The following is a 25,121-nucleotide window of genomic DNA, read 5'->3' on the forward strand; positions in this document are numbered from 1 at the left end:
AGTGAAACGGGTTTCCCCTTATCAAACCATCAGATCTCATGAGACTTATTCACTACCATGAGAACAGTATGGGAGAAACTGCCCCCCACCAGGTGCCTCCCACAACACGTAGGAATTATGGGAGTACAATTCAGGATGAGATTTGGGTGGGGACACAGAGCCAAACCATATCACCATCAAAATACCACCGTCATTTTTCACAGAACTAGAAAAAACAATCTGAAAATTCATATGGAACCAAAAAAGAGCCCATGTAACCAAAGTAAGACTAAGCAAAAAGAAGAAATCTGGTGGCATCACATCATCTGATTTCAAACTATACTATAAGGCCATAGTCACTAAAACAGCATTGTACTGGTATAAAAGTAGACACATAGACCAACGGAACAGAATAGAGAACCCAGAAATAAACCCAAATACTTACAGCCAACTGATCTTTGACAAAGCAAACAAAAACAAGAAGTGGAGAAAGGACACCCTATTCAACAAATGGTGCTGGGATAATTGGCAAGCCACATGTAGGAGAATGAAATGATTCTCCTCTCTCACCTTATACAAAAATTAACTCAAGATGGATCAAGGACTTAAATTTAAGACCTGAAACTATAAAAATTCTCAAAGATAACATCGGAAAAGCCCTTCTAGACATGGGCTTAGGCAAAGATTTTATGACCAAGAACCCAAAAGCAAAGGCAACAAAAACAAAGATAAATAGGTGGGACTTAATTAAACTAAACGGCCTTTGCACAGCCAAAGGAATAGTTAGCAGAGTAAAAAGACAACCCCACAGAGTGAGAGAAAATCTTCACAATCTGTACCTCTGACAAAGGATTAATATCCAGAATCTACAAGGATCTCAAACAAATTAGAAAGAAAAAACAAACTATCCCATCAAAAAGTGGGCTAAGAACATGAATAGACAATTCTCAAAAGAAGATATACAAATGGCCAATGTGAAAAAATGTTCAACATTACTAATGACCAGGCAAATACAAGTCAAAACCATAATGCAATGCCACCTTACTCCCACAAGAATGGCCATAATCAAAAAATTAAAAAATAATAGAAGTTGGTGTGGATGCAGTGAAAAGGGAACACTTCAACACTGCTGGTGGGAATGTAAACTAGTACAACCACTATGGAAAAGAGTGTGGAGATTCCTTAAAGAACTAAAAGTAGAAATACTATTTGATCCAGCAATACCACTACTGGGTGTCTGCCCAGATGAAGAGAAATCATTATGCAAAAAAGATACTTGCACCCACATATTTATAGCAGCAATTTCCAATTGAAAAAATATGGAACCAGCTCAAATGCCCATCAATCAATGAGTGGATTAAGAAAGTATGAGATATATCTCATATTTTCTTTATATATATATATGAATACTACTCAGCCATAAAAGGGAATACATTCATAAATTAATGGCATTTGCAGCAACCTGAATGGAATTGGTGACTATTATTCTAAGTGAAGTAGCTCAGGAATGGAAAACCAACAATCATATGTTCTCACTCATAAGTAGGAGTTAAGCTAAGGGGATGCAAAGGCATAAGAATGATACAATGGACTTTGGGGACTTGGAGGAAAGGGTGGGAAGGGGTTGAGGAATGAAAGGCTACAAACTGGGTTCAGTGTATACTGTCTGGGCGACAGGTGCAACAAAATCTCACAAATCACCATTAAAGAACTTATCCATGTAACCAAATACCACCTGTTCCCCCAAAAACTTATGGAAATAAAACAAGTTAAAAAAGAAAAGAAAAAGATGGGGGAAAAACAAGACAAAGACAATCAAAATACCTTACCAACCTAAATTCCAGATAAGAAAATTTTCAGGAGTATTCTTCCAAACAAGCCTCCTATTCTCCATTCAATTGGGCAGGAATTTCCCCACGCCAGGACTCTTTCTACCACCTAGGAAGAGCCAACCAAGATCTGTCAAGGGGGCACAATGCCTCCACAGGGGCCACCAGATCAGAAAAAGAAAAAGGGTGTTGTTTGCCTTTAGAATACTTATCAAAAGACATCGTCCAGTCCCAGAAAATGTTTCCCCACTGCAAGCAAGTCCAAGTACCATGGACTGACCATCCACCCACCAGCAAGGATTGTGCCAGAGGTGGCCCTCAGTTTAAGAAAGCTCACCTCCAGGGCCAGTGCACCAGTGAAGGGCTGCCAAACCATGGCCACGCACCTACAGGGGCAATCTCAAATGATGCTCCAAATCTGTTACAATCCAGTGGGTTTTTCTTGCCCGCTGCACAGAAAATGCCAACACACTGAGACAGAAGGTATTGCAACAGAGAATGAGCTTAATAATTGCAGGAGGCTCAAGCAATGAAGACAGGAGATATTTCTCAAATCTGCCTACCTGAGAATTTGAAGACTAGAAATTTTAAGAATTGTTTGGTGGGCAGGTGGCTAGGAAATGGACACTACTGACTGGTTGGGTCAGGGATGAAAACACAGTGGTGTGAAAACTGTCTTGTGTGCTGATTCAGTTCCTGGGTGAGGGTCACAGGACCAGTTGATTCAGTTTCTTGGTATGGGTCATTGGTCCAAATAGTGTCAGTTGCTCCACCAGAACGAAAAGTCTGAAAAATATCTCAAACACCAGTCTTTTTTTTTTAAATATACTTTTTATTATACTTTAAGTTCTAGGGTACATGTGCACAACGTGCAGGTTTGTTACATATGTATACATGTGCCATGTTGGTGTGCTGCACCCATTAACTCGTCATTTACATTAGATATGTCTCCTAATACTATCCCTCCCCCCTCCCCCCACCCCACAACAAGCCCCGGTGTGTGATGCTCTCCTTCATGTGTCCAGGTGTTCTCGTTGTTCAATTCCAACCCATGAGTGAGAACATGCGGCTCAAACACCAGTCTTAAGTTTCACAATAGTGATGTTATCTATAGGAGCAAATGGAGAAATTACAAATATTGTGACTATCAGCTGACTGACTCCTGAGCAATAAACAATTATTTTAAAAAGCAAGCAAGGTAGGGAATGATGACTGCTTACTGTTTAACTATGCCTACATCTTAGCAGAATTCAGGCCACTCTGATAATTCTAACCTTGTGACATTCATCCATTTTTCAAAGGTAGTTTCTGTTCCTGAATAAGGAAGGGTAGGTTAAACTATAAACTAAATTCCTCCCACAGTTAGGCTGTCCTACATACAGAAATAAGCAAAGGCAGTTAGCTTGTGAATATAAAGGCAAGATGGAGTCAGTTATGCTTTTTTCTCTCACTTTTATAATATCACGAGCATAGTTTTGTGTTCAGTTCTCTGTCAGTGGTAGTGGTCATGACATGGGCTCTGGAGTTAGGTACACATAGTTTCTATTCCCAGATCCACCACCAATCTTGGAAAGTTACTTCACCTTTCTGAAGATTTGTATCCTTCTCTGAAATAACAAGATATTGTGGTTGAGAGGAATAAATAAAATAACATCTGCAAACCCACTCTTATTCCTGAGATCCTCTTTAAAACTAGCATCTACAGTGGTAACTTACAGTGATTCCCTCGGTTTATGTCTCTCTTTGTCTCTGTTTTCCTAAGGCTGAATGCTTCCAAGTACTCACCTGAATCCTGCCTCTTTAGTGAAATCTTTTCCAACCATTCCTGAACCAGCTGATCCTATCCTTCTATAAATTATTTCTCCCATATGTCAACATTTAATTATGTGCCATTCCTCTTGGTGAGACACTATAGAGAGGTTTAAAGGACATTGGCTGTGTGATCATTGAGGGATAATTGAGTAAATTTTTTTTTAGTGCTCACTGAGTGTTAGAGCTGCCCTCTCTTTTTTTCAGCTGTTGCTAGCAGCAGTCCCTTCTGCACCAGCAGCATCAGACCCTGGCAGGCATGTGAATACCTTAGGGATTGCTCTTGTCAGGGTCCTTCCTGCTTCTGGATTTTGGTTCCATTTGTGTTTCCTTTTGCATGTTATTCAATGGCCTCTTGTGTTATTGTGAAATACAGATTGACCGTGGCAGAATTTAACTGGAGGACACCCAGCCAGTGTCCACTGCAGTACTGATTGCTCACTTGGTGGTGGGGAGGAACACCCACACCCATATTTGGTCAAAGAATTCTTCTGTGTTGATGATGTGGTGTGAAATCAGATAAAATGGGTTTTAGAGTTTTTCTAAATATTCCTCCAAGGGAGAGATTGTTGACATTTATTTATGAAAACCTCAAGATAATAACTCTAAGGAAGTTGAGCACAGTATCCTCTTGCTTAAAAAGCCTGGTGATAGGAATTGTGTTCACTTTCCTAATTCATGAAATTTAAAATAGGGTCTTTCCTCTCTTACTTCAGAAGAGATGAAGGACAAAAGACCAGATGGGGAGGACAAGGTTGTTTATGGGGAAGTCATGTACCTCTGACCTGGATTCTACGATGTTCATTCAATCATACCTGGAAGTGTGCATCTTTGCATGTGCAGTCATATATTTCTATCACATGACTCATAATTCCCTCCCTGTCAGTGGCAATTAGGAGCTCATGTAAAGCTTAGGACAGTAAAATTATATGGTGTGTTCTTCCACTGCAACAAGGTTTCTCTGAGGTTTAAGGAAACAATAGGACAAGAGGGCTGGACACTTTACCTGGTGTCCTGCCTTCTTTTTTTATTGAGCAGCAGTCTACTCACCCATCATTTTTGACCTTCCTGTTTTCCTACCATGGGTTCAGATATAATTACTGATGTCCAGATACAATTACTTGTGCCTGGAGCTTGATGTTATTTTTTAAAAGAGAGGCCTGAGGAATGGTTTCCTAGCTGATTTCCAGGATTCTAATTTTCACTGTCTAAGTCGTTGGTTTTCAACCCTGGCTACTGGTTAGAGTCACCTTAGGAATTTAAAACATACAAATGCCTGTGTCTTCCTCAAAGAGAGTCTAATTTGATTGCTCCATGGTGTGCCTTGGGATTTGGTCATTTAAAAATGCTTCCAAGGAAAATAGTCATTTTACAGTGGAGGAACTTTAGCCCAGTGCTCAAAGTTAACATCCCCAATAATCAAAGATATAGAAATTCTGGGCATCCTAATATGATGGATGGAGAAGGTGCAGCATCGCCTCTGTGGCATTTTTGCCCAAAGTGGATAACCTGAGTTTAATTATGAGAAAATATTAGGTAAGCCCAAACTGAGGGTCATTCCACCAAATAACTCACCGATACTCTTTAAAAATGTTAAGGTCATGAAGGCAAAAGTAATTCTGAGGAACCATCCCAGATTGAAGGCGATTGAGAGGACAGAATAATGAGATGCAGTGTGTGATCTTGTATGGATCCTTGTCCAGAAAAAGGATATTAGTGGGAAGATGGAGAGGATTTGAATAGGGTCTGCAAGTTCATTCATTGTAAGATGTCAGTGATCATTTACTGATGTTGATGATTACACTGTGGTTATCTATAACGTTAATATTAGGGAAAGTTGAACGAAAAGAATATGGGGACTCTGACTATTTTTGGAACATTTTTGGAAGTGTAAGATTATTTCAAAATGAAAGTTATAAAAAAGAAGGGGGAAAAAACTTCCAGATAATCCTGAGTTCCCAGAGTTGAAGACCACTTGCCTAAGTTATCTTGCCTAATACTGTCAGAGTAATCTTCCTGGAAATGCTTTTTGTGATGTTACTGACCTTCTCAAAGCTTTCCAGTGACTCTTATCATCTATAGGATGAAATTCCAATTTCTTAAGCCATCATTCAAAGTCTCCATAATATGACCCCAATCTACTCCCTTGATCCACATTTGACTTTCTCATGTCTAAATATTTTGCAATTATTTGACTCCTTCATATAACATGCATACCTGCCTGTTCACCTCCTAAATTGTTCTTCATCCTAAGGCTTATTTCAGTCCCTGTCTCTTCATTGAAGCTTGTATGGTTATTTCTGTTAGAAGCCGTCATCCTTTGTTTCTTTGAATTCTGGAAGGTACAATGGTGTGGACTGAAACATAAGCTTTGGATTCAGAAATATGTGAGTCTGAATTCTGGTTCCACCTTTCACCAATTCTGAGATAAAAGACAAGTTAGTGATGTCTTGGGATAGAGGGATAATAGTACCTACTTAAAGGGTCATTGTGAGCATTAGATGAGGTGCAAACACAAAGGTCTCCAGCACATAACAGATTTCTTCCTCATCATTTTTGCTGCTCAATGGTCCCCAAAGGTATTATGGGTGATGCAAAGGCTTTTATCAAAATTTTCTGCAGCACCTTTTAAAAAGTCTTGTGCCTGGCCATCACTAAGATGAGAGACACCCTTGAACTGAACTGAATGTATGGGACTTTAAAAAACTCAACCGAGATTTGTTTTTCCTGGAACACAACTCAGTAAACAAGTGGATAGAAAAATGTAACCCAACAGAGGGAGAAGGGAAGCGCAATGGTTTCATATAACAGCCATGCCTTCTTAGGAAAAAGCTGTGATGCCTTCTGAGAGTTTGCTCTCAGTCAGGCAGGATCAAAGAAGTACAACTCCTTAGTACAATCCCTTAAACCGTGAGTCCTGCACAGCACCTCACTAATCCATTCCCTGCCCAGGTGATGTGTGCATAGGTGAAGAGTCAGATCTCCATAAGTCAGACACTCTTCCCCCTTTTCAGCTCCCTGACCCTCACTACTGTGTGCTCTGGTCTGGCCCCAGCTGCCAGGCCATTAGTATTGGTCTAAGAAAGCAAGACCAGGACGGGCAGCTGAGAGGAAAGTCAGAGGCCACCAAGCATGAAAAGAGAGAGATGAGGCTGTCATTGCTCAAAGTCACCCACTCTGGGTGTGTTTTATGACTGTTTCTGGATTTTGGAATATTCTCCCCTTTGTGATCATTCCAGGGACTCACCCTCCTCCTATTTCCTTCTCATTGCACTTTCTGTCCCCAGTGCACCCTTTTTATGGCCAGAGACTGGCTGTATGACTAGATGACAATTCAGTGAAAGTTACTTGTTGTGAGGACTGAGAGCCAGGCCCACCCTGCTTTTTCCCAGAAGAGACTGGAGGTTCATAAAAGCCAGCTTTAATGCAGGGCTGTGCAGGTGTGAGTGTGGTGTTAGGGAACAGGTGCAAAAGTGAAGAGTGAGACAGAAAAAAAAGATGCTGGCTGTTCATCAAATCCTGAAAGTAGAGGGAGCAAAAATTATTCTGGAAGGTGGATGTCATTCAGGAGACCTTGGAAGACCTAGAGTGTCCTCTGCACAAATAAAGTGGAGGATGGGGTTAAATTACGGAGTTGGATGACACTCATTACCTGACTTCACTTCTCTGCCTCAGTTTTTTAAATCTGTAAAAATGGGGATGCTGACACTCAGGATTTTTTATGAGGACTGTAGCTACCTGAAAACCCCTTAGGATAGTGCCTGGTGAGTAGTGAGTGCTGCGTCAGTGTGAGCTATTATAGTTATGGAAATAGGCAAAGGTGCCATCAGGAGCATTCAGAGTGAGGAGGTGCCTTCCAGTCAGGGTCCTCGCAGGCAGCTGGAGATGAAGATGGTTAAGGGGGCTTAAACTCCACAGTGGAAGGATTGAGGAGCAGTCCTGAGAAGGAATTCAGAAGCCAACAGGCATGGAAAGAGGCCAGGGGGACTGTCATTGCTCAAAGGCCACACACTGTGGGTGTGCTTTATGACTGTTACTGGCTTTGAAATCTTCTCCCCTTTGTGACCATTCCAGGGACTCGCCCTCTTCATATGTTTCTGGATTTGGAATCTTGAGCAATATTCATGACGTACAACATTCTGTGAAAAATACCTTTACCCGACAGCAGGAACAGCCAGAGTGGGTGTGGCTTCTGTCACAAATATTGTCTCCTAGGAGTCTAGGAATGTGTCCTAAGATCGAATGGTTTTGCTGAAAGCCAAGCCTAGAAATGGGCTTCAGGGGCACCTTGTGAATAGCATTTATGTTGCCAATGGAAAGCATTCATCTTTTTAAAGGAAAGCATTCATCTTAATGAAGAAATCCCATCTTATGGTCTGGGTCAGTATTTTTTGCCTCTGTACTATCCTTATTTATAAATTGAAAAGAGAAAGACCGAAGAAGAGTGACATAAGGAAGCACATGTATGAATTAACAGGACAGAAATGGGACTAGTATGTGTAAATTAAGGGAAAGCATGTATATATTTTATGTGAACATAAAAAGGACTTCTTGTTGGCCGGCGTGGTGGCTCACGCCTGTAATCCCAACACTTTGGGAGGCAGAGACAGGCGGATCACGAGGTCAGGAAATCAAGACCATCCTGGCTAACACGGTGAAACCCCGTCTCTACTAAAAATACAAAAAATTAGCCGGGCGTGGTGGTGGGCGCCTGTAGTCCCAGCTACTCAGGAGGCTGAGGCAGGAGAATGGCGTGAACCCGGGAGGCGGAGCTTGCAGTGAGCGGAAATCGTGCCACTGCACTCCAGCCTGGGCGACAGAGCGAGACTCCGTCTCAAAAAGAAAAAAAAAAAAGAAAAAGACTTCCTGTTTTAAACAGACTTCTGTGTAAAAATAAAAATAATATACACTGCCTTGAGTGGAGAGCAGACTGCAGGACCAAAACATTCCAGCAGAGTCATGAGAGAATGGGTTGTGTGGCTTCTTTGCTAAATAGTAGGTTAAACTGAGTATGTTACTGAAGAGAAAGGAGATGAAGGAGAAGATAGGTGAGGGTGAGAGAATGTGAGATGGCAAAAGGAAAAGACTGAAAGAAAGGTTTACTAAGGGCTCATCAGGTACCAGGCTTTATGTCTAATGCCTTCCACATATTAACGTACCCATTCAAACTGTCATTTTCTGATGCAGTAAGAGTGACTCTTGTGCTGCAGATGAGAAGAGGCTGAAGTGGGTGAAGTGAGTGGTCCAGAGTCATCCAGCCAGTTCATAGCAGAGCTAGTGTGTTTCACCTCGAAGTTTGTGCTCTTTGTGATTCAGACAGAAAAGTGAGACACAGAAGGAAGGCAAAGCAATTTTTGTTGTGGGTAAAGTTTACAGAAGTTACCTGTATTAGGCAGAATAATGGCCTCCTAAAAATGTCCACATCCTAATCCCTGGAACCTGTGCATGCTACTTTATTTGGCAAAAGAAAAGACTTTGCAGGTGAGATGAAGTTAAGTTTCTTGAGATGCGAGGTTATTCTGGATAATTTGGGTGGGCTCAGTGTAGTCAGAAGGGTCCTTGTAAGTGAAAGAGAGAGGCGGAAGGGTCAGGGTGAGAATGATGCAGCCAGAGAGACTCCACTGGCCATCGCTGGCTGTAAACATGCATCAAAAGACAAAATTATAACAAATTCAGTTATAGATACAATTGGCTTTTATTTGTGATTCATGAGTCAGGGCAGTTTCCATTCTGCAAAATATAGTGATAGCTCCTACTGGGCAATACAACAGTAGAACAGTGGGTTTTGTAAAATGGGAATCCAGGAACAGAAGAATATAAATAAATTGATTTAAATAAACTGATTGGTTAATTTCAGAATACTTCATATTACTTTTTTCTAAGAGTTAAAGCAGAAAGGACTTTCTTACTGTGCTGACTCAGACAGCCTGGACTCTCATGTTTTTAGGAAAATTTTGTCTGTTCTGGGATCTACCTGCTTCCTCATGTTTCAGTGTGAGTATATGGCATTTAGCATGACTGGCTCCATTCTGGAGTCACCAGGCTGTCACCTAAATGAGAGTTTGACTAAACATAAGGCATTAACACTACTGTCAGTTACCATCATTTTGGACTTCCATCATTCATAGGTTATGATGTCCTCCTAATCATACATTTATTTGAGTTTTTGTCATTCCAGCCAAAGAGAGAATATTTGACATTTGACGAATGGCTGCATGCAAACATTTAAAGGTTTTAGAGAATACAGCACACCAGGGTAACTAATATTGTGACAATCAGGAGGATCACACCAAGAGTTTGAAGTATGATCCATAGGCAGAGACCCCATGAACCAAACCAAATAAAAGAGAATAGATTAAAGAATGAGCCACATGAGAAGCCTACCCATTTTAATCAAGCAGCATATTTGTTAATTTTTGCAACTGAGTCTCTATAGTACCCACTGTATTTATTTATGTGCAACAAGAAGTGTCAGCAACTGCACAAACTCCTCCCTGTTCAGCTAGTAGGCAGCAATTCTGTTATCTGGCATCCCATAGCTGGGTTAAATTAAAACAGGGCGTGAGAACAGGTGAGTCTAGAGGTCTAACTCTAACAGGGACCACCGTGCATTTGAATAAACAGTTGTATTAGGGATGTTGTTAAAGTTAGCCACTGGGCAGAATAAAGGATCCCTTAGGTCAAATATTTGGGTTTGACATGATGACATGACACATCCAACACTCTGTCAAATTACCTGCACAAGGCGCTGATTGTGAAATTCTAGTTACAGCATTATCTTACCAAATTAAAGAGGCAGGCATGAGCAGGGAAAAATGGAGTGGGATAAGAGCCTCGTCACGATGAGGCTTGGGACATCTTGGGAAAAACTGTCCACAGCATGAAGTCATCAACTTCTTGTCCTGGTTGGCAATTTGAGTGTCTCTAGTTATGGTGTTGAACATTTTGGTTAGCTCTGAGTGGCCCACATCTCAGGCATGAGGGTTTTTCCTTGAAATTTACATTGAGTTGTCCACCTCCAGCTTATAGGTCTTCAGGAAGAGAGCAGGTCTTATACTTAGTGATGCCACAGGAGAAAATGGGATTGAAGGAGCTAGAAGAATCCAGTCCAGTCTGCAGGTGGATAATAAAAACTTGAAAACAAAATACAGGGCTACAATTTGATAACAGTTGTATTATAGTCTTTCCTCTGAACATAATTTTTCTCTATCTCTCCCTGTTTCTACCAAAGTTAATCAGAGTAAGACTAATCTGTTTACAAAATAGGTAGAGTCTCATCAAACTTGGTCTGATTCTTTATATAAGAAGTATAGCAAGAATAGCGATTGACCACATAGCATCTTTTTAAGATTGCTTTGCTGGAAGGTTTGATAAGGAATCTCAGATTAAACTTTTAGAAACCTCTCAGCACTAGGAAGCCAAACCAAGGCTGACTTCAGACTTTGCCTGCAGTACCTCAGTACCTACGGGTTCATTCTATGTATATTTCCAAATATGACATCCCAGCCAAAGCCTTGGTAATATAACCAGTATTTTTAAATGTATCCTGTTATAAACAGAACAGATTCTTATTGAACTTATGCAAATAACTATTTTCATAACAATGTGAACACCCATGAATAGTTGCCTGATTCTGGATGGAAAATGTAGGGAGAAAAATTAATGTTTCAATTTTTGTTCACAAGTTGTATTTTACCAAGTTTCTGTAAGCTATAGATAGCTTAAAAGAAAAATATTCCTTCAAATTTGGAAAACAAAACATTTAAAGAATCATCAAAACTTCAACTAAAAATTCATAAAAACATTATCCTCATTAGTTCATCTAGTCCCATGAAATTAATTTTTTGTTCTGCCTGATCTTGATTGGCAGTTTCATGAAGATATCTCTTCATTAAAGTTTTGGAAATTCTTAGCCCAATGGTATGATTCTAAAGTTATCAGAAACTTGTATTCAAGACAACTTGTCAGAGTCTTAGCCATAAATCTCCTTGGAAAACAAGCAGTTTTGGACTGTAACCATTTCCAAGTGCTTTTAGAGAAGAATCAAAACAACTGTCTGTGAATGACAAAGACTTAAGATGGCAATGGTTAAAAATCTGATAAGACTTCAGATTTGATAGATTTGATGATAATGACACCACTCACAAACAAATTTGGTTATTTCTGTGGCATGTAACACTATGACTGACAAAATATTAGATTTCTAGAAATCTCATATAATTTTTGAAACATTCACATCAATAACATACCCGCAAATATAACTTAGAGAAGGTTTGGCATCACTTGTCATTTGACAGTGTTTTCCATATAATTTAACATATCAATTAAGGTGAATTTCCATCTCGCTTCTGTTTCTCAACTGGATTACTGAGTTCAGGGCATAGTACATTAACAAATATGGCCAACAATGTATAAGCTTATGTATGTTGAAAAAGTTCCCCAGGTAATTTTGATACATACCCCTAGCTACAAACCATTGATTTAAGCCCAAGTCCTGCTTATCAGAGCAGGGGTTCTGCATCCTGCTTGCACATTAGTAGCATGTGGGAAGGCTTAAATAATAACGCCTTGGTCCCACTCTAGACCATTAAATCAAAATGTATGAGCAGAGCCTGGAAATCAGTTGTTCTTTTAAAAATTTTCCAGTGATTCCAGTGTGTAGCCATATTTCCCATTAGATTTCTCTTTCTTCTTGTGGAATTTATCTTTTTCTATTTTGGTATTACAATTATTTTTCATGTCTTATTTTTTGGAGACAGGGTCTTGCTCTGTGGCCCAAGTTGGAGTGCAGAGGCACAATCATAGCTCACTCCAACCTTGAACTCTTGGGCTCAGAGGATCCTCCCACCTCAGCTTCCCAAAGCACTGGGATGACAGTTGTGAGCCAATGCACCTGGCCCTTTGTCTTATCGTCTGTCTTAGGCTTTATGTTCCCTGGAGTAGGGACCTTGCCTTCTTCATTTCTGTATCTTTCATGAACACATGAATTGGTTATCAGGAAAAGATTCTCAGCCACGTTTAGGTTGTGTCCTGAGTCTCAGGTTCACATACTAATGCTACCGTCTTTGTCCTCCACAAGGACAGAGGTTGCTTGTGATGAAGGGTGTGGGTAACTCCACAATGCAGGTGGTGGAGGAAGGTTACCTTGTTTTTAGATATAACATTGGAACTAAGAATTCTATGTGTACATGGGGTGGAAGGGCAGGATGTATAGGAAGACAGATCTAATTAGGATGGAGAAATTATACTCAGGAGTAGTGGTAAAGGAAGTAAAAAGGATTCATGAAGAGAAGAAATGTGAACTTATCTAATGGGCTAGAGTAGGCCGCTGCAGGTTCTTCAGTAGGTGATTTTAGGAAGGTAATGAAGTAGTCATATGCTAGGAAGCATTCAGACTAGAGAAAAGAAGTCAAGCAGGACTTCAAGCAGTTGTTGAGGTTTATGGGAATGGAGAGAACAGCACAAGTGAAAGATGTTTTAAAAAGGACCAAGAAGCTTTCACAATGTATTGAATTGGGGAAACAAATGAGCAGAGGCTGGGAGTAGTCATGTCTAAGAGACAGTGGAGTACAGGAAGCATGAAGACCAGGGAAGAAGAGACCTGCAGGAATTAGTGCTTAGAAGCAGGAGTTTAGTGGGAGGAGGAGGAGATCTAGTCCCAGATACAGGTGAAGAAGTCCTTTCCCTCTCCCAAGCATGGCAGTCAGCCCTGCAGGAAATAGGATAAGAGGAAAGGTCATAATACCTACCACTCTTCCCGAAATGCAGAAACTACACCAAGGCTGCTATATCAGAGCCATCCCAGCCAGTACTCCAATCATGATGCTGACAGCGGTCCCAGCTGAGAGGTCAGGTGAACTTGCTTGTACTGACTCATCTGCCATGGAAAGAAAAGAGAAGGAATGAAGTTGATCTTATTTTACAGGGAAGTCCCCCAGGAACCAACTCTCAGCATGAAGTCGTTTCTATTTGTTCCTTCAAGGAATACATTATTTTTGTGGGAAGGTTGCTGGGAGATGATTATCCAACTAAATTCTTGCAGGTTTTTTATCTCACCAGGTTTCCAGGTTGATGGTCAGTCTTCTGTCAATTCCATCCTGACCTTTTTACACTCAGATATTTTTGAAGGCTTTGAAATTTGAGAAAGACTGATTGCTAATCTTGTATGTCATTAAAACTTCCCACTTTTTCATGGTTGCATTTTTTTTCTTAGTGTCTCAGTTGTGGCAGTTAGTGCATTTTGAATTCACCACCTCCTTTGCACAGAGACCTCACTTCCCATGGGCTCCCAGCAGGTGTGTGAAAGCAAGTCAAGTTCTGCAAGACTATTTTGCTCTGAAAGGTGATGGGCTTGAGGAATTCCCAACAGTCTTGCAGAAACTCTCTTCGAACTGCACTGCAATCTAAAACTTTCTTTTTTTTCTCTTTCTCCTCCACAGGCATCACATCTGCATCATGATCTGAGGGCTCTCCCAGGCTCCTCCCCCTCCCAGCCCACTTTCCCTCACAGGTGTTTTTCCCTCAAAATTATATTGCATGTCTAATCCCATCTTGACTGCATCTCTCTGAATGAAAACTAACATACTAGGCTTGAGACTTCATATTTAACTCTGTTCTTTTCCCTCTCCCATATTAATCAGTAACCATGTCCCAGTGGACTTTTTGTGTAATGCCTGTTTCTCCCATGTATATGTATATGTATATGTATATGTATATGTATATGTATATGTATATGTATATGTGTGTATATATGTGAATATATATATGCACATGTATATATAATACCTTCTGCATCTGTTTCTTCTTTATTTCTGTTGCAATAATTTGGGCTTAATTTCTCATCAGTCATCAGTCAACTCAGACTGATGATTAATAATCACTAATATTAGCTACTGTTGAGGGGTGCTTCCTATGTGTCAGGCCCTGTGTTAAATTATTTACATGTATCTCATTTGAGCTGTAAAATAATACTGTCAGGTAGAAAATAGAGGTGGCTTAGAGTGGTGAAAAAACTTACCCAATGTCATACAGCTAGTGACAGGCGGATCTAGGATTTGCCTCTAAGACTACCTGACTTCAAGGCTAATAATAATGGTAGCTTTAACAGCAGCTAACATTTATGAAACAGTTCCTCTGCATGTGGCATTTTGCTGAATGTTTCATTGATTATTACATTAAATCTTCAAAACAATACTGTGAAACAGGCACTCTTATTGCAATTTTCAGTTGTGGAAACTAAGGCTCAGAGAAGTTAAGAATCTTGTGCAAGAAATGTATAACTATAAATACATACATTTAAAAAGAAGAAAGATCTGAAATCAACAACCTGGCTTTACAACTTAAGGATATAGGAGAAAAACAAATGAAACCCAAAGTTAGCCAATGAAGGAAATAATAAAGATTAGAGTGGACTAGAAAAACAATAGAGAAAAGCAATGAAACCAAAAGGTGGTTCTTCAAAAAAGTTCAACAAAATTCAAAACCTTTAATTAGATCGACTAAGAAAAAAAATGAGAAGATAGAAATTACTCAAATCAGAAATGAAAGTGATTACTACCAATTTTACAGAAATAGTAAGTGTTATGAGTATTATGAATAATTATATGCCAACAAGTTAGAGAACCTGGATGAAATAAATTCCCAGAAACATAAAACCTTCCAAATGGAACCATGAAGAAACAGAAAATCTGAATAGACTAATAACTACTAGGGAGACTGAACCAATAAAACATTTGTCAAAATTCAACATTCTATCATAGTAAACACACTCAGATTATAAATAGAAGGAAACTACCTCAAATATAATAAAGGCATTATCTGAAAAGCCCAACGCTAACATCATACTCCAGGGAGAAAGACTGAAAGCTTTCCCTCTAAGATAAAAACAAGACAAGAATGCCTAGTTTTACCACTTCTATTCTATGTAGTATTGAAAGTTCTAGTAAGAGAAAGTAGGCAAGAAGAAAGAAAATAACATCCAAATCAGAAAGAAGTAAAATTAACTTTGCAGATGACAGGAACTTACATGTAGAAAACCCTAGAGATTAAAACAAAATTTTAGAACTAATAAACAGATTCAGTATAACTGCAAGATACTAAATCAACATGCAAAAATCAGTTGAAATCAGCTGTATTTCTTTTTTCTTTTTTCTCTGTCTCTTTCTCTCTCTCTCTCTTTTTTTTTTTTTTTTTTGAGACAGAGTCTCATTTTATTGCCCAAGCTGAAGTGCAGTAGCATGATCTCGGCTCACTGCAACCTCTGCCTCCCCAGTTCAAATGATTCTCCTGCCTCAGCCTCCCAAGTAGTTGAAATTACAGGCGTGTGCCACCACACCTGGCTAATTTTTTTTTTTTTTTTTTTTTTTTTTTTTTTAGTAGAGACAGGGTTTCACCATATTGGTCAGGCTGGTCTCGAACTTGTGACCCCAAATGATCTGACCACCTCAGCCTCCCAAAGTGCTGGGATTACATGTGTAAGCCGTTGCATCCAGCCAAAAAACAGTTGTATTCCTATGCACTTACAATGAACAATCTGAAAAGAAATTAAGAAAAAAATTGATTCACATTATCATCAAAAAGAATAAAGTTCTTAGGAATATACTTAACCAAGGAGGTGAAAAAATTGTAAGCTGAAAATTATAAAATGCAGCTGAAAGAAATTAAAGAATATATTAATAAATGGAAAGAAATTCCATTTTCATAGATTGGAAGACCTAATATCATTAAGATGATAATATTAATGCAATCCCTACCAGAATCCCAGTGGCATATTTTGCAGAAATAGAAAAATCCTAAAATTCATATAGAGTCTCAGGACTCTAAATAGCCAAACAATATGAAAGAATGAAGATGGAGGACTCACACTTCCTGATTTCAGAATTTACTACAAAGCCACAGTAATCAACACAGTGTGGTACTGGCATAAAGGAATACATAGAAACCAATGGAATAGAATGGAGAGCCCAGAAACAAATGCTTGCGTTTATAGTCAAATTATTTTTGACAAGGGTACCAAGACCATTCAATAGGGAAAGGATGGTCTTTTCAACAAATGATATTGGGACAGCTGGATATCCATGAAGAAGGATGAGTTGAATCTTTACTTAACACCATATAAAAATTAACACCATATAAAAATTAACCCAAAATGGATCAAAGACCTAAATCTAAGAGATAAACCTATAAAACTCTTAGAAGAAAACATAGGGGGAGAGCTTCATGACATTGGATTTCACAATGATTTCTTGGCTATGACACCCAAAGCACAGGCAACAAAAAAAAAACAGACAAATTTGACTTCATAAAAAATAAGATCTTCTCTACATCAAAGGACATTATCCAGAAAGTGAAAAGGCAACCCATGGAATGGGAGAAAATATTTGCAAATCATATATCTGATAAGGGATTAATTCTCAGAATATATAAAGAACTAATATAACTCAACAGCAAAAACCCAGAAACCCAATTTAAAAATGGGCAAAGGACTAAAACAGAGATTTCTCCAAGGAAGATATGCAAATGGCCAATAAGCACATGCAAAGATGCTAAACATCACTAATACTTAGAGATATGCAAATCAGAACCACAGTGATACACCACCACACACATGTTAGGATGGCTTTGATTTAAAGAAAAAAAAGAAAACACAAAACATGTATTTTGAGGAGGTGGGAAAATTGAAACTCTCGTGCATTGCCGGTGGGAGTGTGAAATGGTGCAGCCACAGTGGAAAATGGTAGAGCCGTTTCTCAAAAAAATTAAGCAAAGCATTACCATTTGATGCAGCAATTCCACTTCTGGTCATATGCCCAAAATAATGGAGAGTAGGGCTTTGAAAAGATATTTATACACCCATGTTGATAGTAGCATTACTCACAATAGCCAAAATGTGGAAACAGCTCAAAAGTCCACCGAACGATAAGTCAAGAGGCAAAATGAAATATATCCACACAATGGAAACTCATTCAGTCTTAACAGGTAATAAAATAAAATAAAATGCCGAGCATTTACACACTCATGAGACTCAAATTCTGATACATACTACAACGTGAATGAACCTTAAAGACGTTATGCTAAGTGAAATGTGGCCAGACACAAAAGGACAAATTTTGTATGAGTCTATTGATGTGAGGTACTTATTAATAAAATAGTCAATTACAGACAGACAGAAAGTAGAATGATGGCTACCAGGGACTAGGGTTAGAAGGAGTGGAGAGTTACTGTTTATTGAGTGCAGAGGTTTAGCATGGTGAGTTGAAAAAGTTCTGGAAATGGATAGCGGTGATGGTTGCACAACAGTATAAATATAATTGATATCACTAAACCATACTTTTTTTGGAGACAGGGTCTCACTCTGTCACCGAGGCTGGAATTCAATGGCGCAATCAAGGCTCACTGGAGCCTCGACATTCTGGGCTGAAGTGGTCCTCCCGCCTCAGCCCACCAAGTAGTTGGAACTACAGGCCATGTGCCACCATGTTTCGCTAATTTTTTGGGAAGACAGTGTTTCACCATGTTGTGCAGGCTGGTATTGAACTCCTGAGCTCAAGCGAGCCACCCATCTCAACCTCTCGAAGTGCTGGAATTACAGGAATCAGCCACCGCGCCCAGCCCTAAACCGTATATGTAAAATGGCTAATATGGTAAATTTCAGGTTATGAGTGCTTAACCTTTATGAATATATAGTGGCTGGTACTCTTATCCTCGCTATAAATACACACTTTGTGGCCCTGCCCCTTCCCTCCCTTGCAGAGTCCCGGTGGCTGAATCTCCCTATTTGTCCAAATGTTCATCCCTAGCTGTGCTCTGTGCTGTGTCCACAGCGTCATACAGCGGGTGACTTCAGAGCCAGGCCACAGTTCAAGAGTCTGCCCCAGGGCTCCCTCTCTTCCCAGTTCCCTGAAGCCTGACCCAGGAGAGGCTCTGCCATTGATTGACAGCTCAATTTAGCCAGATTCAGGACAGGTCGCCCAAGCACCTTCTCCACACACCCAGGTCCCACCCCAGGTGGAGTCAGGGCAGGGCCAGTCACCAGGTGAGCCGGAAGCAGAGCAGGGAGCAGACTCTGAGCTGCTCCTCCCTCGTCCAAGGGGTTTCCTCCTCTCATCTGGGGAAAAAGTGTGAGATGTTTCAAAGCTTCCTTCTTCCTTGTAGCTCATGAATTAGGCAAAAGAACACAAAGAGGTGACAAAAAGGGACGTATTGATGACCGAGAGAACCCTTAAGGACCCTTCCTGCTTTTCCCTCTGTGAAGCTCTTTCCACTACCTGGGGCTTTGGGGCTGAGGGAGCCCCCTCCCCACATTCCAGGCTGGATCCATAATCAGCCATGAGAAATTACTGAAGTACAGGGAGGAGGGTCTGCAGAGACAGAGTGAGAGGGTTCAGCGGGGAGAATTTGGGATCTGCTTGTGCCCATGGGACACAGGCTGGAAAAGAAAAGTTTTTTCAGCTCTTCCTTAACACCAGAGAGACCCCATCTCAAAATATGATGCCAACGGTCCAGGGATCCATGTACCACGGACTGTGATCATCTTGACTGTGGTACTATTGCGGTCAGTGGCCAATTTGTGGGCATAGCAGGTATAGGATACACTATTCTTTGCAGTGCTTTGGGGATAAAGAGCTCTTGCATGTGTTGCAGAAGGTTTCCATTACTCAGCCAAAAATACGGAGAGGGTGGGTTAGAGGCCACATGGATGAAGAGTCTAAGGTTTGCTCCTAACTCGTAAGATATAACTGGGGTAGAAGGGGTGTCCAAGCCACCCGGAGCAAAGAGAATAAAGCCGTAAGTGATGTCCTCAGAGGGAAGCGGAAGCTCCTGGTCTGTGGAAGGGCTGCACTGTCCCTCTTACCCAAATCACAATCCTGAAGTCCCAACCAAACCCCGATGTGTTCACTGAGCCTGAGACATTCACCTGTTTCTCCCATCACAGGCTGTGGACCCTGAGCCTCCCAGGACAGGAGCAGCCCCTCCTCTCATATTCTTGGTCAAGGCTGGGTCTGCCCAGGTTTGCTTGTGGCAGAAAGTCATGGCCAGCCTGGGTGCCTAGAGGTGAGGGTCTGTGTACTTGGACCTGAGAGGGACTAAGAGGCCTGGTCTCTGGCTGCATGGATTTGGGCTGTCAGCCTGGGCCACAGAGGAACAGAAGATACTCACAGCGGACATTCAGGGTGACTGGGTCACTGCGGCTGGCACCCACTGGGTTCTGTATTTCACATTCATAGGGTCCTATGTCATTCTTTGTGGCGCTGAGTAGAACGAGGGTCCTGTTGTCAGTGGAGAGCAGCAGCCTGGGACTGACCAGGAGGCTCTGATTGTTTACCCACCACAGGTAGGTTGTGTTCTGAGTCTCAGGTTGACAGGTTAAAACCACAATATCTTTGTTCTCCACCGGATTGAAGTTGTTGCTGGTGATGGAGGGCTTGGGTGGCTCCGCTGTGCAGATAAGAGAGAGAAAAGATTGCCCTGTGTGGCCCCTTGGTTCCCCCACGGACATCTTTCAATCAGAGTTGGCATCTCCCACCTCTAAGCCCACTCAAGTCCTTAAAAGCCCACAGAAGGTGTGTGTATCACAAGACAGATGCACAATGATCTGAGAGCTCAGACACTGTGAGGCTGCCTGATTTGTCTTAGAGAAGCACAGACTTTCTCAAGTGTAAATTGTGCAGCAGCGTTGGCCCATGGACAGACCCAGGACCATCAATCACAGCCACTGGTGCCTCTCCTGGTCCTTTCCTGATGGCTGCCTACCTGGCCCTTTGGGGTCCTCACCTCGAATGGGCAGGAGCTGAGTTCCTTCCAGCTGAACACTCCTACACCACCCAGCCAAGGGGTGTTTCTCTGAGCCTTTTTTTTCCAAGGATATCCCAGAGATGGGTGATGATAACAATGGGTGTTTGAGCAGACATAGCAGAGGAGACCAGGAAAAAGTCTAGAGGTGAGTTTAGTACTCAGACTGCAGGGCCTCCAGGTGGGGCAGCTCTACCCGGGTGTTTGATGGTGACTGACAAGAGCTAGTGACCGCCAGGAAAGTGCAGCAGAGTCCAGAAGAAGATAGAGAAAGGGTGAGTGAGACAAGCAGGGGCTGGCTGAAAATCTGAGGATTCTCAATGACATAACAAGAACAATGAAGACAAATTAGGAGAAGAGATGTGTGTTATGTTAGGAAATTTACAAAGAGCTCCCTGTCCCCAGCTCCTGTGCAGTCAGCAAAATGGAGGAAATCCCAACACAGGCATGAGAAATGCTTTCTTCCTTTTCTCTCGACCTACGGAAACACAACAAGAGTTTGATCAAATTCATCTAAACTAGGCAGAGTCTAAGTGAGATGCCAGTGGCTGGTGCAGTTCCCATTCCAAGGGACCCCACCTTATGACAATGGTGTCATCATGAGGACACAGGTGTATGCGGAATGGACAGCAAACCCATCAGACAGCACCTGCCTAGGCCGCTGCACCTGGAGGAGGTCCCAGGAATGACTGGAGGACCTTAGCCCCACAGCGAGACGAGGATGGAGTTGGTAGTAAAATGGGTGGAATGAACCCATGGGCTTTGGGGACTGCACACCTGTCCTGCCTCTGGCCCCCTGGTGAGTCAGTGTAGAGAGCAGATAGAGGAGTTGCTCATCCCTGTCCCATGGCCAAGCATTTACACAGTCATGAGACTCAACACCTGGGTGGCTTCTTTTTTTTTTAAGATCCAGGGATCTTGCTATGTTGCCCAGGCTGGTCTTGAACTCCTGGGCTCAAGACACCCTCCTGTCTCAGTCTCCCACTGGGGTGGCTTTAGGGGCAGGGGATGAGAGAGGTGGAACATGGGTCTCAGTCCCTTGGAGGGACAGGGAACAGGTGCCAGAGCCTCCTAGGATCCTGCATCAGGTTCCAGTCTCTGAAGAGATTATGGATCATTCATTCCTTCATTCATTCCCTCCCTCCTTCATGAGAGAACTACTGAGCGAGTGTGTTTCTCACTTTGGGCCCTGGCATGTGCAGGGTGTGAGTGGGGAGAGAAAGCAAAGTCTTCTCCTTTATCCTCCTGTGGGAGTGACACCAACACATCAGGAAACACAGGATTTCAGGTCCAGTGAGGGTAGGAGTGTGAATCTAAGGGAGAGGCCTGGACATTCCCAGCACTGACTCTGATAGTTGAGGCAAGAGATTCAGTTCTAGGTAAAAACTAATTCTCTATTTGTTCCTCACTCCCTAGACCAGAATCTCCCACTTCTGGCTTGGATGCCTAGGAAGCAAGCTCTGTGGCTACAAAGACCTGGGGACTCTGATGTGACTGTCCGGTCCGTGAGACCCTGCCTCAGTGGCTGTATTTCCTTCTGCCTCAGTTTCCTTTAACAAAATGAGATAAAGCGTAAATGGTCTCTGGCTTGCCTTGCTGTCTGTGAATTTACCTTAAAATAATCACAATTACCTGGATGAGAGCCCTGTGTAGAAGAGCTGCCCAAACAAGCAGGATCTCTGATTGTTTGCCTCCAGGAGTGGGTTATTTGGACCTGATTCCTGGTGTACAAAGAACTTACAGCAGAAACTTTCTTCTTCTTTTTCTCCCCCTGAGGACACTGACTCCCCTAGGACCTCTCTTAAGTTCCTCATCCAGGGGGACTGAGGTCCTAGTAATCCTGTTCATCTGTCCTCTCCAGGCTGAGTCTCAGGTGAAGGATGAGGCTCTGTCCTTGCCCAGATGAGGCCCTGGGGGTGACCAGGCTGGTGACCAGCTCCATGAGCCATGATCCTCAAACAGCTCAAATCCTTGCTCTCAGTCAGTTCAGCCCAGGAGGCCACAACCCAGCCCTGACACAGGTTCCTTAGGGTCACCTGGAGTCAAGAGCCCTGGGACAGGGATCTGGGACTTGTGCTTCCAGGGCTGAGCTTCTCTGTGAGGATTCCAGGGGACTCCTCAGGCCAGGCTCTGACCCAGTTCTCCAGGGTCTTTTTCAGGGGGAGGGCACAGAATCTTGGCTGAGACTGATCTCCCCCTGCTGAGTGCCCCCCATCAGACTGTCCTTCCTCTGCAGCAAGTATCTGCAGGGTCTGGATGCAGGAAAGGGATTCTGGTCTGTAGAAGTTTGTCTCCCCCATGTGTGTCCTTCACTAAATGCCCAAACTCCAACACTGGATAAAATGTAGATGGGGACACAGGCACAACCCAGGCCTGACAACCCCGTGTGTATGAAGTAGAACTGGCCCCCAGCACCCAGAAGTCATGGAGGTATCACTCACAGAATACGTAGAATTGTCTGGTTACTTCTTCATTCACAAGATTTTCTTTTATAACGTGTAGGGTATAGATTCCTGCGTCATTGTGGGTGACGTTCTGGATCAGCAGGGTTCCATTGGGGTATATTGTCTCTCGACCGTTGTGTGCGGGCCCTGGGGCATTTTCTTGACTTATATTTTTTACATATCCTATAATTCGATAGTTGGCATGCACCCTTTCCCCTTTGTACCAGTTGTAGCCATAAAGATTCTGGGACTCATTATGGACTACTAGAAGGACCTCCTTCCCTTCTGCGACATTGAACGGCACGACATCAATATTGGTCTGGGCACTGTTTGGCAGGTTCCAGAAGGTTAAAAGCGAGGCTAGGAGGGGGAGAGAACATCAGTCAATATTGGGACCTATGTATTGGGGTGGAAAGATGGGGCCCTGGATCCTGAGCAGGTCTCTTCACCCACCCCCATCTTGAAGTAAGTGTGTGTGTGTGTGTGTGTGTCCTACTGGATCAATGTCAGCAGCATGTCCCCTATCAGCACCTCTGACCTTACATTTCCCTGTTCGGAATCCTCTTCCCCAGGGATCTGCAGGGCTCCCTCCATACTGCTGGACCTGCTTACATCAGGGCATCCTTGGGAGACCCCTTCCCTGACACCTTCTCTAGAAGCCCTGGGTGTTCCGTTTCTGACATTTCCCTGCTCTGTTCCCTTTAGAGCTCTTGTCAACACCTGGCTTCACATTCTAGATCTCTTTGCCTGTCTGTCTTCTGCCGCATGAGAGCGTGAGCTCTGTGAGGGCAGGGACTTGTGTGAACTGGATTGCACCCCAGTGCCTGGAACAGGCTGCAGGCTCCAGTAGATGAGTTCATGAGAGTTCCCAGGGCCCTCCCTCCACATCCTGGGGTTTATTTTCCAATGCCTGAGGTTGGTGGCTAGGGACAATGTTTTATGCCCTGGTTATGTTTTTATTTGAAGCGTCACATGATATAGTTATTATTATCATATTTCAAAATGTAGCAGCTAGTGATGATTAACCAGGAAAAGAGAACATGTGAGATTTTCTTGACCCTTTCCAATTCCAGTCCAATGTGATTTTCCTGTTCTGGTTTCCTGTCCCTGTCTGGTGTCCTCTCCCAAAGGACTTCAACAGAAGCCCTTTGTCCCCTCTCAGAGCCCCGTCCTCCCAAGGAGACCCCAGCCAGTCTCTCTGGCCCTCCTCCCACCCACTCCCAGGAAGTCCTCCCCTCACCTGTGAGCAGGAGCCCCTGCCAGGGAATGCACACTCTGTATGGACAGGCTGAAGGGGACCCCATGGTCTCTGCTGCCTGCTTGTCCTCTGTGGAGAAGAGCTTGGGCTCCAGGAACTCTCTTGTCAGGGCTGCTGTGACTGTCAGCTCTGCTGTCCTTCCTACCTCTGTGCTGAGCCTCCTCCCAGGGCAGGAGCACTTTCCAAGATCACATGGTCCAGGGGTGGGGTCTCTGCTCAGGAGTCCTCTGTCCCCTCCCCTCTCATTCCTGCCTCTTTTGTCCCTCTTCCTCTTTCCCTTTTGTCTATATTCAGTTCCCGATACAAAGCTTTGAGTAGCAAGGCTGATGGACCCCTGTCCCCTGGGAGGACAACCAACCTTTCCCAGTGCTGACCTATGCTGTGTTCTGGCCTTGGGTCTGTCACACCAGGGGGATTATTTCCCTTGTGACAGAGAAACCCAGCTGGGCCTTGGGTTTCTGCTGGGATGATGCCCAGCAGGAAGGTGACAGAGGTGGCTCTGGGGGATAGAAAGGGGCTCACTGGGGGATGACTGGGGAGGGACCAGCCCTCTGTCTCCAGTGACCCAGGCACAGAAACCAAGGCCCAGGGGTCTCAGGAGGAGCTACAGCTCCTGGGTGTGGAGGGAGGTGTCTGGTGTGTCCTGGGAAGAGAGCTGTGGTGGAGGGAGGTGTGTGGCTCTGAGCTCTGCTGTCCTTGGGGAAGGCTTCAAGGAAACCCTCCCTCTCCCTGTCTTTTGGATGTGCTGTGGCTCAGGTCCTTTCCATGTTCTACCTGACCTGGAAGCCTCTGTCTGGCTGACAGTCCTGTGGTCACCCCGCCTTCCCCATGGGTGGTGCCAGGAGGGAATGGGGAGCTGCACAGAAACCCCTGGCAGAGCGGGGTCTTCAAAGGCCCCAGGAAGGAAGAGGTGGGACACAGCAGGAACGCGTGAAAGACAAGAAGGGTCTGTTGGAGCAAGGAATGGAAACCAGGCTCCACCTTCACCACCTTAGCAAGGCCAAGTTCATG

General features: G+C 43.0%; 1 protein-coding gene across 2 annotated transcripts; it reads right to left on the minus strand.

Annotated features, from left to right (window-relative positions):
* Window positions 1–9,293: 9,293 nt before the first annotated feature.
* Window positions 9,294–24,261, minus strand: CEACAM7 (CEA cell adhesion molecule 7). 2 transcript variants are annotated; one of them, NM_001291485.2, is made up of 5 exons: window positions 24,093–24,261; window positions 22,850–23,212; window positions 19,776–20,054; window positions 13,367–13,494; window positions 9,294–10,730 (listed from the first exon to the last, which is right to left on the minus strand). In NM_001291485.2, the coding sequence occupies exons 1-4, from the start codon at window positions 24,154–24,156 to the stop codon at window positions 13,403–13,405; spliced, it is 798 nt and encodes a 265-aa protein (NP_001278414.1). In that variant the 5' UTR covers window positions 24,157–24,261; the 3' UTR covers window positions 9,294–10,730; window positions 13,367–13,402. The 2 variants fall into 2 exon arrangements, with proteins under 2 accessions (NP_001278414.1, NP_008821.2); NM_006890.5 differs by having other exon boundaries at window positions 9,294–10,750.
* Between the last annotated feature and the right edge of the window lie 860 nt (window positions 24,262–25,121).

This window comes from Homo sapiens, chromosome 19, assembly GCF_000001405.40.
Source record: "Homo sapiens chromosome 19, GRCh38.p14 Primary Assembly".
Taxonomy (NCBI): Eukaryota; Metazoa; Chordata; class Mammalia; order Primates; family Hominidae; genus Homo; species Homo sapiens.

Bases quoted from the DNA above. Each gene is read 5' to 3' on its own strand.
- CEACAM7 (NM_001291485.2), bottom strand. From the start codon at position 24,156: ATGGGGTCCCCTTCAGCCTGTCCATACAGAGTGTGCATTCCCTGGCAG. The intron at 23,213-24,092 runs GTGAGGGGAGGA...TCCCCCTCCTAG, and splicing joins GCAGGGGCTCCTGCTCACAG to CCTCGCTTTTAACCTTCTGG. The intron at 20,055-22,849 runs GTGAGTGATACC...TTATCTGCACAG, and splicing joins CAGACAATTCTACGTATTCT to CGGAGCCACCCAAGCCCTCC.